Source organism: Homo sapiens, chromosome 8, assembly GCF_000001405.40.
Source record: "Homo sapiens chromosome 8, GRCh38.p14 Primary Assembly".
Taxonomy (NCBI): Eukaryota; Metazoa; Chordata; class Mammalia; order Primates; family Hominidae; genus Homo; species Homo sapiens.
In genome coordinates, this window is record NC_000008.11 from 42,475,815 (window position 1) to 42,493,714 (window position 17,900).

General features: G+C 46.0%; 1 protein-coding gene across 15 annotated transcripts in view, besides 3 other annotated features; it reads right to left on the bottom strand.

The window, feature by feature from the left end:
• Window positions 1-17,900, bottom strand: part of SLC20A2 (solute carrier family 20 member 2) — a 125,480-nt gene that overhangs the window by 59,340 nt on the left and 48,240 nt on the right. Inside the window, exon 1 of one of the 15 annotated variants that reach the window (XM_047422120.1) lies at window positions 4,645-4,700. The exons of the other annotated variants lie outside the window; for them this stretch is intronic. The gene's annotated coding sequence lies outside the window, so the exon portion shown is untranslated. Of the gene's footprint in view, window positions 1-4,644; window positions 4,701-17,900 lie in introns of those variants that run through there. 15 annotated transcript variants of the gene reach the window in all.
• Window positions 119-644: an enhancer, noted in NCBI's record as "H3K27ac-H3K4me1 hESC enhancer chr8:42333451-42333976 (GRCh37/hg19 assembly coordinates)". NCBI's record gives its function as "activates a minimal SCP1, AML or CMV promoter by ChIP-STARR-seq in primed H9 embryonic stem cells {active_cell/tissue: H9 hESC(primed)}" and the evidence as "EXISTENCE:reporter gene assay evidence [ECO:0000049][PMID:30033119]".
• Window positions 645-1,168: an enhancer, noted in NCBI's record as "H3K27ac-H3K4me1 hESC enhancer chr8:42333977-42334500 (GRCh37/hg19 assembly coordinates)". NCBI's record gives its function as "activates a minimal SCP1, AML or CMV promoter by ChIP-STARR-seq in primed H9 embryonic stem cells {active_cell/tissue: H9 hESC(primed)}" and the evidence as "EXISTENCE:reporter gene assay evidence [ECO:0000049][PMID:30033119]".
• Window positions 16,887-17,754: an enhancer, noted in NCBI's record as "NANOG-H3K27ac hESC enhancer chr8:42350219-42351086 (GRCh37/hg19 assembly coordinates)". NCBI's record gives its function as "activates a minimal SCP1, AML or CMV promoter by ChIP-STARR-seq in primed H9 embryonic stem cells {active_cell/tissue: H9 hESC(primed)}" and the evidence as "EXISTENCE:reporter gene assay evidence [ECO:0000049][PMID:30033119]".

Genomic DNA, 17,900 nt, shown 5'->3' on the forward strand with positions numbered 1-17,900 from the left:
GAGGCATCCGGGACCAGGCTGTGGACGGTGGTGGGTGGGAGGGAATACGATGATTTAAGAGAACTGCAGCGGCAAAATCCAACAGGACCAGATGGTGGATTAAACATGGGGGTGGAGAGAGGATACATGGTTTATGGAACCGAAGTGAAAAATAACCGAGTGGGTTTTTCTTCTCTTTTGCATTGTTTTTAGTTTTGCTTTTTGGGGCTAGGATGGGGTCTGACCACAGGTGCGCTTTTGATTGGGTGAAGTAGCCGGGTTTACTGTGTCTTTTTTTTTTTTTTTTTTTTTTTTTTTTTTGACACGAAATCTCGCTCTGTCGCCCAGGCTGGAGTGCAGTGGCGCGATCTCGGCTCACTGCAAGCTCCGCCTCCTGGGTTCACGCCATTCTCCTGCCTCAGCCTCCGAAGTAGCTGGGACTAAATAGGCGCCCGCCACCACGCCCGGCTATTTTTTTAAATTTTATTTTTAGTAGAGACGGGGTTTCACCGTGTTAGCCAGGATGGTCTCAATCTGCTGACCTCGTGATCCGCCCGCCTCAGCCTCCCAAAGTGCTGGGATTACAGGCTTGAGCCACCGTGCCCGGCCGGTTTACTGTGTCTCAATGGAGGACTCCCTTGCTGTGCACCTTGAATATGGCAGTGGCTGTACTACTGTACATGCTGTCAAAACTCATGAAATTCACACAGGTGAACCACAGGAGCGCCCTGGGTGGGAAGAGCGGCTGGCACAAGCCCCGAGCAGCTTCGCCATGGCCTGGTTTTGCTTGGGGACGTTGTTAATCATCTTGATGTTCCCCTTGGCACTGTGTCAGCCCGGAGATCCCCTCTCCTACTTAAACAGCCTTAGACAACTCATTTCCACAATTGTGCCTATGCTCTTTAGCGCGGCTTTTCTTCTTCACACTCACACCCTCAGCCCACCAGCCTAAGTCCAGCAAGCACCTGCCTGAGGAAAAAGGCTTGCCACCTTCTTTCCTCTCTGTGGTTACAAAAGGAACATTCATTTCTCCTGCGTGGAGAAGGGCAACGAGCACAAGACCTGCAGTCGGGGACTCTAGGTCCATTCCCGTCCGGCCAGCTCCTGGCTATGCAACCCTGGGCAAGTCACCTCAATGACTCACCTGAACCGTGGGGACTGTGGCAGATGCCTCGCCACTGGTTACATGTAAACGCAAAGGCCAAAGCTCAATGCCAGCAATCAATATGTGGTGACTGTTACCATTCTTAGCAGATAAAGCCCTGGGGCAAAGGTCGGAAAGCATAAGGCCCCGTCGCAGTTCTGTTCCTCTCTAGTGGCTGACCCTGGGTACCTCAACACGCTTTTTGAATTGCGGCATGTATAAAATGGGATAGTGATGGCGCATGCACTTTACAGAATTATTGTGAGGAACAAACTTAATTGGGTAGAAGTGTTTCGCCTCAAGCAACTTGTAATTACTGGCATCGCTGTAGTCACAGGAAGAATAACAAATGAGAGGTTCCAGAATCCTTCTGGAAGGATCTTTCTCAGGCAGCCCTGTGCCCCACTCTCTTCCCAGTCCTGTGGGTTTCCCCAGCCTCCTCCCTTAGACCTGCTCTTCTTCCTCAACACGCAGACACTGACCTTGTTTTTGATTAAAGACTGACACATGTTGTGAGGGACAGGGACTTTTTTTTTTTTTTTTTTTTTTTTGAGACCGAGTCTTGCTCTGTAGCCCAGGCTGGAGTGCAGTGGCGCGATCTTGGCTCACTGCAACCTCTGCCTCCCAGGTTCAAACAATTCTCCTGCCTCAGCCTCCCGAGTAGCTGGGATTAAAGGCACGCACCACCATGTCCAGCTAATTTTTGTATTTTTAGTAGAGACAGGGCTTATCACCATGTTGGCCAGGCTGGTCTTGAACTCCTGACCTTGTGAACTGCCCGCCTTGGCCTCCCAAAGTGCTGCAATTACAGGCATGAGCCACTGCACCTGGCCTGGACAGGGACTTTTTAAGGGAAGAAGGGAAGCAAAGAGGTAGAGAAGAGAAACACTAAAAGGGCGCTAAGAAAAAAACCACTCAACGTGGTAAAGACACTTTGGAAAACTATTGGCAATTTCTTTTTTTTTTTGAGACGGAGCCTCACTCTGTTACCAGACTGAAGTGCAGTGGCGTGATCTCGGCTCACTGCAACCTCCGCCTCCTGGGTTCAAGCCATTCTCCTGCCTCAGCCTCCCGAGTAGCTGGGACTACAGGTGCACACCACCACACCCAGCTAATTTTTGTATTTTTAGTAGAGACACGGTTTCACTATGTTGGCCAGGATGGTCTCGATCTCTTGACCTCGTGATCAACCCGCCTCGGCCTCTCAAAGTGCTGGGATCACAGGTGTGAGCCACCATCCCTGGCCAATTGGCAATTTCTTTTCTTTTCCTTTTCTTTTTTTTTTTTTTTTTGAGATGTAGTCTCACTCTGTTGCCCAGGCTGGAGTGCAATGGTTTGATCTCTGCTCACTACAACCTCTGCCTCCCAGGTTCAAGCAATTCTCCTGTCTCAGCCTCCCCAGTAGCCAGGATTACAGGCATGCACTTCCTCCTCCGGCTAATTTTTGTATTTTTAGTAGAGACAGGGTTTCACCATGTTGGCCAGGCTGGTCTTGAACTCCTGACCTCAAGTGATCCACCTGCCATGGCTCCCAAAGTGCTGGGATTATAGGCATGAGCCACCGTGCCCAGCCAACTATTGGCAATTTCTTAAAAGTGAAGTGTACACTTGCCACACGACCCAGCAGCCTCAATCTAGGGTGTATTTACCCATGAGAAACAACTACCCATGTCTATACAGGGAGAGCTCTGCTGTGCACCTTGAGTATGGTGGTGGCTGTATTACTGCACGTGTTGTCAAAACTCACGAAACTGTTCACTCACAACTGCTGAGCTTTATTTATTGAGTTATATACAGTCTACCTCAATAAAAGTGATCAGAAAAAATGCTGGTCATAAAAGGTAATGTTCACTTTTGATATTTTCCCTTATCTATATTGCAAGCATTGCCCCCCACCTCCACCAAGTCCCCTAGGATGGTATATAGATTATACAGTGAAAAAAAGAAAAAAAAAAAACACAGTTCTCTTTTCAGTGAGAAAGGGAATCTTCCGCTGAGACACAGAAAACCCAGCCAGTTCACTCAGTCGAGCAAGGATTCAGGGACGGGTGATGTCACAGCACATTTAAAACAATGGCAGCGAGAAGACGGATCGAGGAGGGGCTCGGGACATGACTCTTCTGGGGCCAGGGAACAGAGGAAAGGCCTGCTCCAGGGCCAGCCTACGGACCTCTCTTCAAATTCACAAGGAAAAGAAAAGCTGGCTTTCTGCAGACAAGCCCTCCAGATGGCTTCTAGAGGATCTCACGGTAGAAACCCATTCGTTAGTATTAAGTTTACGCAAATATAAACATTTCAGGTGAAAATCATTCCCATGGGGAACCACAGACTGAACATCCTTTAAATGTGAAGTTCTGGGCACTTCATAGACCAAGAGCTGCAAGGACGTCACTCAGAGAAAGTATGAGTGTGGGCAAGCTACAATCACAGGGTCACTCTGATCTGTGACCCCAAAGTCAACTCTGAAATCAGTTCTGCAAGGGTAACTGTTATGTTATCTGTGATGAAAGTTTCTGTAATGGTATCTACCTAAGTACAGTTAGAAATGGTTTACACAGTTCTTAAAAAAAAAAAAAGTAGTTATCTTCTTATTGAAATGGTTCTTAGCTGGGCGCAGTGGCTCATGCCTGTAATCCCAGCACTTTGGGAGGCCTGAGGTGGGACCATCACTTGAGGTCAGGAGTTCAAGACCAGACTGGCCAACATAGCAAAACCCTGTCTCTACTAAAAATACAAAAATTAGCTGGCATGGCAGTGTGCATCTGTAATCCCAGCCACTCGGGAGGCTGAGGCAGGAGCATCACTTGAACCTGGGAGGCAGAGGTTGCAGTGACCTGAGATTGAGCCACTGCACTCTAGCCTGGGTGACGGAGTGAGACCTTGTCTGGAAAAAAAAAGAAAAGAAAATGGTTCTTGTCAACTCACCAGGCCAGGTCAGATGCACGACAACTCCAGGGCTCTAGATTGTGAATGAGGAGCACTCAGGGGGTATGGGTGCTCTTTATGACATCAGCCTCAACTGCTCAAGCAAATAGGCAAAGACTTTGAAATGTGGGCAAATAATGCACAGATGTGGACTGTAGTGTCATTTATTATGATCATAGAAAAGAAGAAACATCCAAATGTTCCCAGTCAGGGGTGTGGCTAAGGCAACTTCTTCTAAAAGATGAAATATTAGGTAGCCACTACAATGATGTAACTTGAGAGATTTTCATGACACTGGAACACAGTGATCCTAGGTGAAACATGGGAACACACAATGACATTAGCCATATGACCTCCGCTATGTTTAAGAAAGCACCGCCTAAGACTTTCAGGAAATAAGCCCAAAGGTTAATTGCACTTCTCTCTAGGTCTCTTTTTATTTTTTTGACGTTATCCAAAATTTTCTACAATGTGCAATGACCACTTTTATCACTGGAAGACGCTTCAAAACACTACAAGGTACATTTTTTTAAAAAAAGTTAGGAACATATCACAAAAACAGGCTTAGTTTTCTTAAATAAACAAAATGAATTTACCATGAATCTATTTATGTTTTCAGCCAGGGCCTCAATTTTTCTCCAGGCTTACTACCTACGATGTAAAACATAAAACACATTCTGTATTCCTTTATTTATCTTTTTCACTGTCAAGAATATCCTTTTGTCTAGTATTGGAGCACTTGGTAAAAAGGTCTCTGCATGGTGTGGAGTCTTCTACTATATTCCAGTTATTTATTTATTCCTTTATTTTTAGTTTTGAGACAGAGTCGGTCTGTTGTCTAGGCTGGAGTGCGGTGGCATGATCATGGCTCACTGCAGCCTTAAGCTCCTGGGCTCAAGCAATCCTCCTACCTCAGCCTCTCCAGTAGCTCAGACTACAGGCACATGCCATCATGCTTGGCTAATTTTGTTTTCTTTTTGGTAGAGACAAGTCTCACTATGTTGCCCAGGCTGGTCTCAAACTCCTGGACTCAACTGATTCTCCCGCCTCAGCCTCCCAAAGTGCTGGGATTACAGACGTGAGCCACTGTGCCCAGCCCTATATTCAATTTATATTCCAAAGGGCCCATGCTCAGTCACAAAGAGTCTTTCTCAGTTCTTCCCTCATCTTCCTTATCCTTCTCTTGAGGTTTGGCCCTCAAGACTGAACTGAATAGAAAGTATCTTGATGGTGCCAAGGACTCTGCTGGCCTCTTTTCTCCTGAAACTGTTTGAAGCTAATGCTTACAAGAAGCAACCTATAATTAAGCTTTTATTCCTGTTTTGGTTTACAGAGTTAGAAGATCATAGAACATTAGGGTCTGAAGGGACTTTAGCAGTAATCGAGTCCAATTTTGGTCATTTTAAAGACGTGGCTGCGTCACTGAAAGTAGATTTAAACAATGAGTCCCTAAATGCACTCTCTCCTTCCCATGAGTCCACACCACACCACACCAGGGTAGGAGGCACTGAAATGAAAGCAATGCCGAGAAACTAGGAAGTGATGCTCCTGGCTGACACTTGCCAGGCCCTGATGATAGGAGGTCCAACTCTGGGCGCTGAGGTTCTCTGGGTTCCTGGCCTAAGCTGGGGGTGGGCAGGGAGAGACATGGGAAGGAGGGAGGCTAATAAAGAGAATGGACTCACAAGAATGCTGCCGGGCTCTCACCCTTCAAAATTGTCAAGATCAGATGACATCTTCTGGTCCTGTCCAACTCTATTATTCTACATCAACCAGAGACCACAGGGCCAGGAAGAGGCCGTTTAGCCTGGAGCTGTGAGCCACAGGATTGTCCTGTAGGGAGGGGTGGAAAATTCTGACCCTGTCTTGAGCAGTGCAGTCAACGGCCTTCGTGGACTTATGGGACATGAACAGACTTACTTTGGCGTTTGGTTCTCTAGCTAAGATTCCTGCTTCGGACCCTGAGGGTTCAGCCTTCCCTGCCCTTTTTCCTTCCAGGTCTCATTCCTGCTCTGTCCACACTCCCTCCGCATTCTTCTCATTTCCACAGGGAAGTTTCTTCCCAGCCGTAAAGCTTCTGTGATATTTAGATGTTTTCCACACAGCCTCTTACTCTCTGGGAAGGCATTGCATAAATCTACAATAAATAAATCTAAGTGCATATATTTTTAAAGGAAAAGGAAACAGCAAAAAATAATTAAAATGAGAAAAAGTTAGAGGAGTTAGGATGATTTGGCCCGAAGAAAAGATTTCGAAGGTACGACATGACTTACATGGAAAATATTTTTTTTTAGTAGAAAGGCTGCCTCAGGATATGTAAGTGCCATCCTTAGTGACATTCAAATGGAATCTGAATGAACGTATGACAGGTAATTGTAAGATTTTATTTGTTATTTTCCTTTTACATTTACAATTCAATGAGTCCATGAAAAAGTTATTATTAGGAAATATATCAGCCTCTCTTTATCTAATTTGAGGACACAGCACAAGGAAACAGTCTTTCATGTAAGAAAAAAGACTGTTATTTAGGCTGGGCGAGGTGGTTCATGCCTCCAATCCCAGCAGTTTGGACACAGCACAAGGAAACAGTCTTTCATGTAAGAAAAAAGACTATTTAGGCTGGGCGAGGTGGTTCATCCCTGCAATCCCGTCAAGGTGGGCGGATCACTTGAGCCCAGGAGTTTGAGATCAGCCTAGGCATCATGGCGAAACCCCATCCCTACTAAAAATACAGAAATTACCCAGCTACCCAGGAGGCTGAGGTAGGAAGATCACCTGAGCCTGGGAGGTCAAGGCTACAGTGAGACTGGAGTGTTGCCACTGCACTCCAGCCTGGACAACAGAGTAGGACCCTGTCTTTAAAAAAAACAAAACTGTATTTGGCTGGGCACGATGGCTTATGCCTGTAATCCCAGCACTTTGGGAGCCCAAGGCAGGTGGATCACCTGAGGTCAGGGGTTTCAGACCAGCCTGGCCAACATGGTGAAAATCTCTCTACATGGTAAAAATCCGTCTCTACTAAAAATACAAAAAATTAGCCAGGTGTAGGGGCAGGTCCCTGTAATCCCAGCTACTCAGGGGGCTGAGGCAGGAGAGTCGCTTGAACCCAGGAGGCAGAGGTTGCAGTGAGCTGAGATTGTGCCATTGCACTCCAGCCTGGGCAACAAGAGCAAAACTCAGTCTCTTAAAGAAAAACAACTGGGCTGGGCACAGTGGCTCACGCCTGTAATCCCAGCACTTTGGGAGGCCAAGCTGGGTGGATCACTTGAGGTCAGGAGTTCGAGACCACCCTGGCCAACATGGTGAGACTCTGTTGTTTCCGTCTCTACTAAAATCCGTCTCTACTAAAAATACAAAAATTAGGTGGGCATGGTGGCAGGTGCCTATAATCCCACCTACCAGGGAGGCTGAGGCGGAGGCATTGGTTGAACCCAGGAGGCAGAGGTTGCAGTAAGGCGAGATCGTGCCATTGCACTCCAGCCTGAGTGACAAGAGCAAAACTCCGTCTTAAAAACAAACAAACTAATTAACTGTATTTGGATAGGAGAAACACATTTATAATGGAATAGGTTGCAGCCCACCGAAGTGAGCTCCCACTGGAAATGTGGACTCCCCAGCAGTAGAGACTTTTAAAGTAGATCACCGCCTTGCTGGAGAGTCTGAGGCACACTACTGTCTGGAAGCGAGGGACGAGAATAGCCAAGCTTTATGAATTTATTCCCACTCTCTAACACAGAAAAGACTCTTCAACATTTTCTCCTTTCTTCCTTTCCGTATGCACTATAAATGGATTCCCCGCCCTCCCAGATATTCTAGGTATTTTCTTCACTCATAACCAAAAATAGGTAGATATTCGTGAGCAAATCGCTTAACATATGAAACTTCTATCAAATGACAAACCTAGGATCACTTGTTCCAATTCTGTGCCCTGAAATGTTGGACTGTTTGGCTAAGTTCCAAGAGCTATATTAGGAAAATACTTTCCCTTCAGAGACAGTTTAAAATGGAACCATGTATGAAAATAGATATGGCTCTTACATGTTTATTTGCTAACTTTGTTTTGATTCTATTGGAGGTTCAATAAAAATATGGATGGTACTTATAAAACTTTTTGTTCCTGGTACAACCGCATATTCTTTCCATTAATGCAACATTAATATAAACAGAGGAGCTGACAAATGAAATTATCTTAACTCCTTTCCATGCTCAACTTACAGCCCCATATTTCTTGTTATCATTCCAGAGATTCTTAAGCAATTGTTCTTAGCCAGCAGAAAAAACAACAGAGGACAAATGATTATTAAGTTGATCTAGGCAGCCTCTTCCTCTTTGCCATGTGGGAGAATCTGTTCAATTCTCTGAAGTGCTTCATCAGAAATCTGAAAACCTGATTCTACTTCACTAATAACTTGCTAAATTGGCAGTATAAACACACTAAACAAGGCAATATAGTCCCAAGAGCGTTCATTTGATTGGTAAGTCAGGTAGAAATTTAGCAGTTCCTCTCATCTTCTATGGAGACTGAGAGTGAAATCTTTTTACTAAATTAAGAAACCATGAGCACTGGCTTGATATTATTAATACCTTCACAAAACCATGGGATGGCAGTAAAAAACACAAAAGAGAAAAGACATTTTATAAGATTTCTTTGAAAACTATTTCCTCACTCTGAGAATGCTCATGGCTCTTAATTCCCCATGCACGATAAAGATCATCTTTCTTGCACTCTGTGCTTTCAAAGCTATCTTCCAGCTTTGCAGGAGAGGCCATGGGTGCAGAATGGGGTGCAGCCCCATGGTGTCCCCTGACAGATCCAATGTGCAGTCTGATGAAGTGTGGGTGGGTGTGGTCTATGGCTGGCAGCCACCATGATCCAAGAGAGCCTGACTTGGGAGGGCAGCCAGGCAGCTAAAGGCTGCTCCCATATCATGCGGGAGCACCTGGGCCTGGCCTTCCAGACCCCGAGGGCATCCAGCCAGCTGGGTGTTCTGCTTGCTGGTCTACACGCAGCCACTGAGCATCTCGGCCATGCAGCTGGCCCTGAGACAGCAGCAGCACAAAAAGGCCTCCAGGCCAAGAGGTGAACAGGGCACACGACTAAGCACAAGGCCTGCATTTGGACCAAAGGGCACCCTGGCAAACCTAAGCCCAGAGTGAGCCCTCGAAACTGCGGGAGGGAGGTGCTAACAGCCCAGCCTCCAGCCCACCTTTCCTCCTTCGCAGAGGTCAGGACAATCACAGCCCTTCCCTTCTCCCACCCACTGTGCCTGTAAAGGGGGGCTGAGATGACCAGGCATCAGAGTCACTCATTTATTTCCTCACTGCTTCTCTCACTGCATGGAATGTTCAGGGAGGTCAGCTGATTTCCCTGGGTACACTCACGGGGTAATGGACACAATGCGTACAAATAAAAGACCCAGAAAGCACCCCCCTCCAAAAAAGGGGAGCTTGTCAAGCTCCCTGTGCCTGCATTTTTCCTTTAGAAAACTTGGGGCTAGGCCGAACGCGGTGGCTCACGCCTGTAATTCAAGCACTTTGGGAGGTCGAGGCGGGTGAATCGCCTGAGGTCAGGAGTTCGAGACCAGCCTGGCCAACATGGTGAAACCTCATCTCTACTAAAAATACAAAAATTGGCCGGGTGTAGTGGCGGGCGCCTGTAATCCCAGCTACTCAGAAGGCTGAGGCAGGAGAATCGCTTGAACCCAGGAGGCAGAGGTTGCAGTGAGCCGAGACCGTGTTATTGCATTCCAGCCTGGGTGACAAGAACAAAACTCCGTCTCAAAAAAAAAAAAAAAAAAAAAAAGGCCAGATGCGGTGGCTCACACCTGTAATCCCAGCACTTTGGGAGGCTGAGGCGGGCGGATCACAAGGTCAAGAGATCAAGACCATCCTGCCCAACATGGTAAAACCCCATCTCTACTGAAAATACAAAAATTGGCTGGGCATGGTGGCGCATGCCTGTAATCCCAGCTACTCGAGAGGCTGAGGCAGGAGAATCGCTTGAACCCGGGAGGCGGAGGTTGCAGTGAGCCGAGATTGCGCTGCTGCACTCCACCCTGGCGACAGAGCGAGACTCCGTCTCAAAAAAAAAAAAAAAAGAAAACTTGGGGCTAGAGAGATTGTTTCAAGGTCAGCATAGAGCTTTCTTATAAACTGGAGGGCAACCAGATAGAAGCTGCTCTTTCATATTTTAAATTAGTTAAGAAAGAAAAACGAATATGTAATTATATTGTCTTTTATCATTAACTACTTAATTATCTTTAGCAGAGCTCTCTCACTGTGTGTGTGTGTGTGTGTGTGTGTGTGTATGTGTGGACTCAAATTACTGTCTAGTGTCACTTCCTTTCAGCCTAAAGAACCTCCTTTAGTATTTTTTTATTTAAATTTTTTTTTTGACACACAGGTTGGAGTGCAGTGGCACGATAATGGCTCACTGCAGCCTTGATCCTCCTGCCTCAGCCTCCCAACTAGCTGGAACTACAGGTGTGCGACACTGTGCCTGGCAAGTTTTTTTGGTAGAGATGGAGTTTTACTATGTTGCCCAGGCTGGCCTAGAACTCCTGGGCTCAAGCGATCCTCCGGCCTTGGCCTCCCACAGTACTGGGATTCCAGGTGTGAGCTGCCACGTCTGCCTTCCTCTAGTGAGGTAGTTCTGCTAGCAATGGATGGAATCTCTGTTATTTATGTGGCAGTGTTTTTATTTTGTCTTCACTTTTGAAAGACAGCTTTGCTGGATGAAGGATTCTTTCGGCACTTTAATATGCCATCTGCTGCCTCTGGGCCTCACTGCCTGATGGAAGTCAGCTGTCCATCTTACTTGAGTTCCACTGGACTTGACAGTCACTTCTCTCTTGTGGGTTCCAAGAGTTTCTCTCTGTCTCTTAAACTTCTTGACTGCAGTATGTCTGTGTTTATCCTAACTGAATTTGGCTAAGTTGTCTGGATGTGTACATTAGTGTTCTTCATCAAATTTGGGAAGTTAAAATAAATTACTACAGATTATTTTTATTTTTATTTTTTTTGAGACAGAGTCTCGCTCTGTTGCCCAGGCTGGAATGCAATGGTGTGATCTCAGCCCACCACAACCTCCACCTCCTGGGTTCAAGTGATTCTCCTGCCTCAGCCTCCCGGGTAGCTGGGATTACAGACATGTGCCACAACGCCCGGCTAATTTTTGTATTTTTTAGAAGCACGGTTTCACTATGTTGGCCAGGCTGGTCTGGAACTCCTGACCTCAAGTGATCCACCCACCTTGGCCTCCCAAAGTGCTGGGATTACAGGTGTGAGCCACCGTGCTTGGCCATGGTTTCTTTCTTTTTTTTTTTTTTTTTTTGAGACAGAGTTTCATTCTGTCGCCCAGGCTGGAGTGCAGTGGCGCGATCTTGGCTCACTGCAAGCTCTGCCTCCCGGGTTCACGCCATTCTCCTGCCTCAGCCTCCCAAGTAGCTGGGACTACTGGCGCCCGCGACCACACCTGGCTAATTTTTTGTGTTTTTAGTAGAGACGGGGTTTCACCGTGTTAGCCAGGATGGTCTCGATCTCCTGACCTCATGATCCACCTGCCTCGGCCTCCCAAAGTGCTGGGATTACAGGCGTGAGCCACCGTGCCCGGCCTATTTTTAAGTGTTGAAATACTGTTTTCTGCTTTCTGCCCCTTCTCTGTCGGTTCTCCCACTGATGCACTGAATCGTGGCCCACATTTCTCTGGCTCTGTTCATTTTTCTTCATTCCTTACAGCAACATCTCTATTGTTTGGGGATCTTTCTTCTGGCAACTCTAATTTACTGCGAAGCCTCTCTAGCGAACTTGTCATCTTGGTTATTATACTTTTCAACTGCAGAGTTTCTTTTACAAAATGTTTTTAAATTATGGTAAAATACACATCGCATAAAATTTACCATCTTAACCATTTGAAAGTGTACGGTTCAGTGGCGTTAGGTATATTCACAGTGCTGTGCAACCACTGCCACCATCCAGCCACAGAACTCCTTTCATTTTCAAAACTGAAACTCTGTACCCATTAGACAATAACTTGCCATTCTCGCCTTTCTCCAACCCCTGGCCACCAACATTCTACCCTTAGTCTCTATGAATCTCACAGCCTAAGGAGCTCAGGGGAGTGGAATGACACAGCATTTGTCCTTTTGTGACTGGCTTATTTCACTTAGGGTTCATCCACGTTGCAGCATGTATGAGGATTTCCTTCCTTTTTGAGACCAAGTAATATTTCCTTGTAGGTGTAGACCACACTGTGCTTATCCATTCATCCATCAGTGGACATTTGTGCTGTGACTTTTAGCGACTGTGAATAATACTGCTTTTTTTTTTTTTTTTTTTTTTTGAGACAGAGTCTCCCTTTGTGGCCCAGGCTGGAGTGCAGCGGCTCGATCTCTGCTCACTGCAACCTCTGCCTCCCGGGTTCGACCGATTCTCCTGCCTCAGTCTCCTGAGTAGCAGGGATTACAGGTGTGCACCACCACACCTGGCTAATTTTTTTTTGTATTTTTAGTAGAGACGGGGTTTCAGCATGTTGGTCAGGCTGGTCTCAAACTCCTGACCTTGTGATCCGCCCGCCTCAGCCTCCCAAAGTGCTGAGATTACAGGCGTGAGCCACTGCACCTGGCCATAACACTGCTATTAAAATGGGTATACAAATATCTTTCCAAGACCACACTTTCAGTCCTTTTGGATATATACCCAGAAGTGGAATTGCTGGATGTGGTCATTCTAATTTTAAGTTTCTGAGGAACTGTCATACTGTTTTTGACAGCAGCCTCACCATTTAGTATTCTCACCAATAGTGCACAAGGGTTCCAATTTCTCATTACCCTCATCAACACCTGTTATCTTCTGTTGGTTTTATATTTTTATATGATAGCCATCCTAATGGGTGGAGGTGGTAGCTCATTGTGGTATGATTTTTCATTTCCTGAATAATTTGTGATATTGGGCATCTTTTCACATGCTTGTTGGCCATGTGTATTGTCTTCTTTGGGGAAATGTCTATTAAAGTCCTGTGCCCATTTAAAAAATCAGGTCGTTTGCTTTTTGTTTTTGAGTTATAGGAGTTTTGTTTTTTTTTTTTTTTTTTTTTTGAAATGGAGTCTTGCTCTGTCTCCCAGGCTGGAATGCAATGGTGCAGTCTTGGCTCACTGCAACCTCCGCCTCCTAGGTTCAAGCGATTCTCCTGCCTCAGCCTCCCGAGCAGCTGGGATTACAGATGCCTGCTACCACGCCCAGCTAATTTTGTATTTTTAGTAGAGACAGGGTTTTGCCATGTTGGCCAGGCTGGTCTCGAACTCCTGACTTCGGGTGATCCACCCGCTTCGGCCTCCCAAAGTGCTGGGATTACAGGCATGAGCCACCGCGCTTGGCCAGGTTCTTTTTTTATTTTATAATTTCTATCTCTTCATGAATATTCTCTGTTTGATGAGTCTGCCAGTGTACCTTCTTTCCATTACCTAAACACGGTTTTCTTTAGTCTTTGAACGTACGTGTAATGGCTGCTCTGAAGACTGTCTGCTAAGTTCAGTATCTGGGCCCCCTCAAAAGCAGTCTCCACTGTCTGCCCCCCCCACCCCGCCCCATGTGTGTTTCACACGAGCTAGTTTCTTTACATGTCTTATAATTTTTCATTGAAAACTGGATCTTTTAAATAATAAACTGTAACAATTCTGCTCACTGATACTCCCACTTCCCAGAGGCCTGCAGCTGTCACTTAATTGTGTGGGTACTTGGTTGAACTATTAATGATTCTCTGAAGTCTATTCCCCTACAGTGCGCAGCTGCCAGCCCCACTCAGATTTTCCCCTTGTTTTTATATTTTAGTCTAACTCGCTAGGGATCACTTGTGGGACAGCACAAGCCACTTAGTGGCCAGAGGTTGTGCTGAAGCCCCCGTAGCCTGCGGAGTTTCACCCTTGACCATGGCTGTGTGTGGCTCGAAGACTCCTTCCACAGTTCAGGGAGTAAGGGTTGAAGGCAGGGTCTGAATAAAGGGGCAGCTCAAGAGTGGCCTTCGGGGAGCTGGAGTTATTCTGTATCCTGTTTGTGTTGGTGGTCACAAAAATCTGTGCATGTGTACAAACTCACAAAACTGTACACCAGAAAAAGCAAATTTTACCATGTGCAAATAAAAAAATAACCAGGATTTGTTGTTAGAAAAATATACTTTTATATCTGTATTGGTCTTACAAAGCTGGATTCAATTTGACTGCTTGAGTTCTTAGAAGTTCACTGCTTGCTAGTTAGTGGGGAGATAGAAAATAAAAGCTTTCTTACACCATTGGTCACTGAGGATAATTTCTTCTCAGAATACAATAAAAATATAAACTTAAAAAAATTATCATTATAATAGTTAATAGTATGATACTGTCAGGCTTTTATATCTGACCAGGAGACATTTCTTCTGGATGAGGCTTTTGAGTCTTTTCAAGTAAAAACTCTGGATTTTGGCTGGGTGTGGTGGCTCACGCCTGTAATCCCAACACTTTGAGAGGCCGAGGCGGGTGGATCACTTGAGGCCAGGAGTTCAAGACCAGCCTGGCCAAAATGGTAAACCCTGTCTCTACCGAAAATACAAAAATTAGCCGGACATGGTGGCATGCACCTGTAATCCCAGCTTCTCAGGAGGCTGAGGCGGGAGAATTGTTTGAACCCAGGAGGCGGAGGTTGCAGTGAGCCAAGATCCTGCCACTGCACTCCACCCTGAGAGACAGAGTAAGACTCCGTTTCAAAAACAAAAACAAAAAAACCCCAAACTCTGGATTTATTTAATTGTTGCTGACATGCCTCACAGGCCTGAAGACACTATGACTTAAAGATGAGGTGGAAACCAAACAAATGTAAACAAAAGCAGAGATGGCAAAAATCAGGCCCGAGAGAAAGAGGTGAGTTGCCGGGCACGCTGCCTTCCAAGTCCCTAGGGACACTTAACCGCACAGCAGCTGAGGCAGAAAGTCAGTGATTCCCTCTTCCTGTGACAGCTGCCACTTTAATTTCAAGTCAGGTCTAAGGCAATCACTCTTTTAAAAACCTTTATAACAGATGAGCTCTTTTATAACTCCTAACACCTACGTTAACTACATTCATCTCTCTTACTTTTGCTTTTAGTCTTCAGAGTAAAGATAAAAACAAACAAGCAAACAAAAAAACAAGTAAACAAAAAAAAGACAAAAAAGAGGAAAACAAATGCAATTCAAGTTTTTAAGCTGAGATCCACTCTCTTCTTCCTCTTATAAAAGTCACCCTCTTTCAGGCCGGTGTGGTGGCTCACGCCTGTAATCCCAGCACTTTGGGAGGCCGAGGCAGGCAGATCACCTGAGGTCAGGAGTTAGAGACCAGCCTGGCCAACATGGCAATACAAAAATTGGCCGGGTATGGTGACTCATGCCTGCAATCCCAGAAATTTGGGAGGCTGAGGCGGGCGATCACCAGGTCAGGAGTTCAAGACCAGCCTGGCCAACAGTGAAACCCCGTCTCTACTAAAAAAAATTTGCCAGGCATGGTGGCACATGCCTGTAATCCCAGCTACTCAAGAGGCTAAGGCAGGAGAATCGCTTAAACCAGGGAGGTGTAGATTGCAGTGAGCCAAGATCACGCCACTGCACTGCAGCTTGGGCAACAGAGTGAGACTTCGTCTCCAAAAAAAAAAAAAAAATTAGCTGGGCATGGTGGCGGGCACCTGTAATCCCACCTATTTGGGAGGCTGAGGCAAGAGAATCGCTTGAACGTGGAAGGCAGAGGTTGCAGTGAGCCGAGATCGCACCACTGCACTCCAGCCTGGGTGACAGAGTGAGACTCCATCTCAAAAAAAAAAAAGTCACTCTATTTCTCTTGATGACCATCAGTTTTCCTGCCTTGTCCAACACAGTCTCAGAAACCCTTTTTATCTGCTCTATCCCTTCTAAGGAAGTAAAAAGACATTTTCTTTCTTCTTTTAAGGCATTCAACTTGCCAAGTAACCAAATTTTAACACCTACTATTCCATCTTGATGTGGCATTATGCACATCTATACTCACTTGGTGTGCAGGAGAGCTTTGGGACTTAACTCAGTTAGAACTACTTGGCAGCCAGGACATGCTGATGTCTTGGGAATTGTCCCCCAACAATCTCACTGGGAACAGTACTCTATTCATTGAATATGTGACTATTGAGTGAAGGTGTTTACCCACACCTCTTTCTTCTCCCCAAAGGAAATGAAGATGCACTGGGCTGGGTGCGGTGGCTCACGTCTGTAATCCCAGCACTTTGGGAGGCCGAGGTGGGTGGATCACGAGGTCAGGAGTTCGAGACCAGCCTGGCCAACATGGTGAAACCCTGTCTCTTCTAAAGATACAAAAAATTAGCTGGGTGTGGTAGTGGGCGCCTGTAATCCCAGCTACGCAGGAGGCTGAGGCAAGAGAATTGCTTGAACCCAGGAGGCAGAGGTTGCAGTGAGCTGAGATCGTGCCATTGCACTCCAGCCTGGGCAACAGAACAAGACTCTGTCTCAAAAAAAAGAAAGAAAACGAAGATCTGCCCATGCAAGGTGTGTCTTCACTTCCTAAGGAAGTAATACTGCAGAGAGGAATGTCATGACTACTCCTCTCATATAATTGCAGTAGAAAGACACGAGATGATGAAGAAAGGAAGGCGAGCATAAAAAGAAGAGCATTCCTTATATGGATGACAAATGTAAAGAGGAAACTTGAAAAACCAGCTTTCTCAGTTCCGAGCATTCCAGGAAACATTCTTCTATGAGTAACAAAGGTTCTAAACCAAAGGCTAGGCCAAAACATGGTAGCACATGATTCCAGATTCCTTTCAGTTTATCAAGGCACTTGGTTTTCTTTTTTTTTTTTTGAGACGGAGTTTCGCTCTGTCACCCAGGCTGGAGTGCAGTGGCGCCATCTCGGCTCACTGCAAGCTCCGCCTCCCATTCTCCTGCCTCAGCCTCCCAAGTAGCTGGGACTACAGGCGCCTGTCACCACGTGCCCGGCTAACTTTTTGTATTTTTAGTAGAGAGACGGGGTTTCGCTGTGTTAGCCAGGATGGTCTGGATCTCCTGACCTCGTGATCCACCCACCTCAGCCTCCCAAAGTGCTGGGATTACAGGCGTGAGCCACCACGCCCAGCCTTGGTTTTCGATTAAGTTTAAGGTCTTAGTCCTGTTGAAAGCAGATTCAATTCAGTCTGAATTTCAGCCTCAATGCCCAAAGGAAACCTAGTGACAAATGCCATTTTGCTCCAGGCCCAGGCTTAGGAGAGACTCTCTCAATGACCATCAAAAGTACTTATTCTCATGTGGCACTGTATAAAGCAGGTGGAAAGGGGGGCCTGCTTTAGTGGGAAGTCCCACTTTGTTCAAGATTTTCTTAAATCAAGTGCCACAGGCACCAAAACAGTTACCCACAATAACCTTCTGATTCAGGCCATGAGGACATCCTGGCAGCGTCTGGCAGAAATGACTGAGGGAGCCAGTACTTTCTTAAAGTGCTCTCACATGTAGTGAACGCTGGTGAGATACACCGTGATACTACACAGATAAGTGCCCTGGAAACACTGGCTAGGGGATTCATTCTTTCCATCATCCCTCATCACTGTCACTCAAAATATTACCTGAGACCTACTGCACATGGTTCCACTGTTCACTGCTTTGAATTTAACATTCTGAACTCCGGGCCCTTCTGAAATTTTAATGGATAATCATAACACCAGAAGTGTTATTTTAATTGACTTAAAAATCTGCTAAAGTCCCCAGCTTGCTGCCATTGCTCTCCAAATAATACTGAGTCTGAGATCCTGGCCAAAAATCAGATCAGATTATAGAGTTTGTTAAGATCCAGTGTGGTAGTGAAAGCAGACACTTCC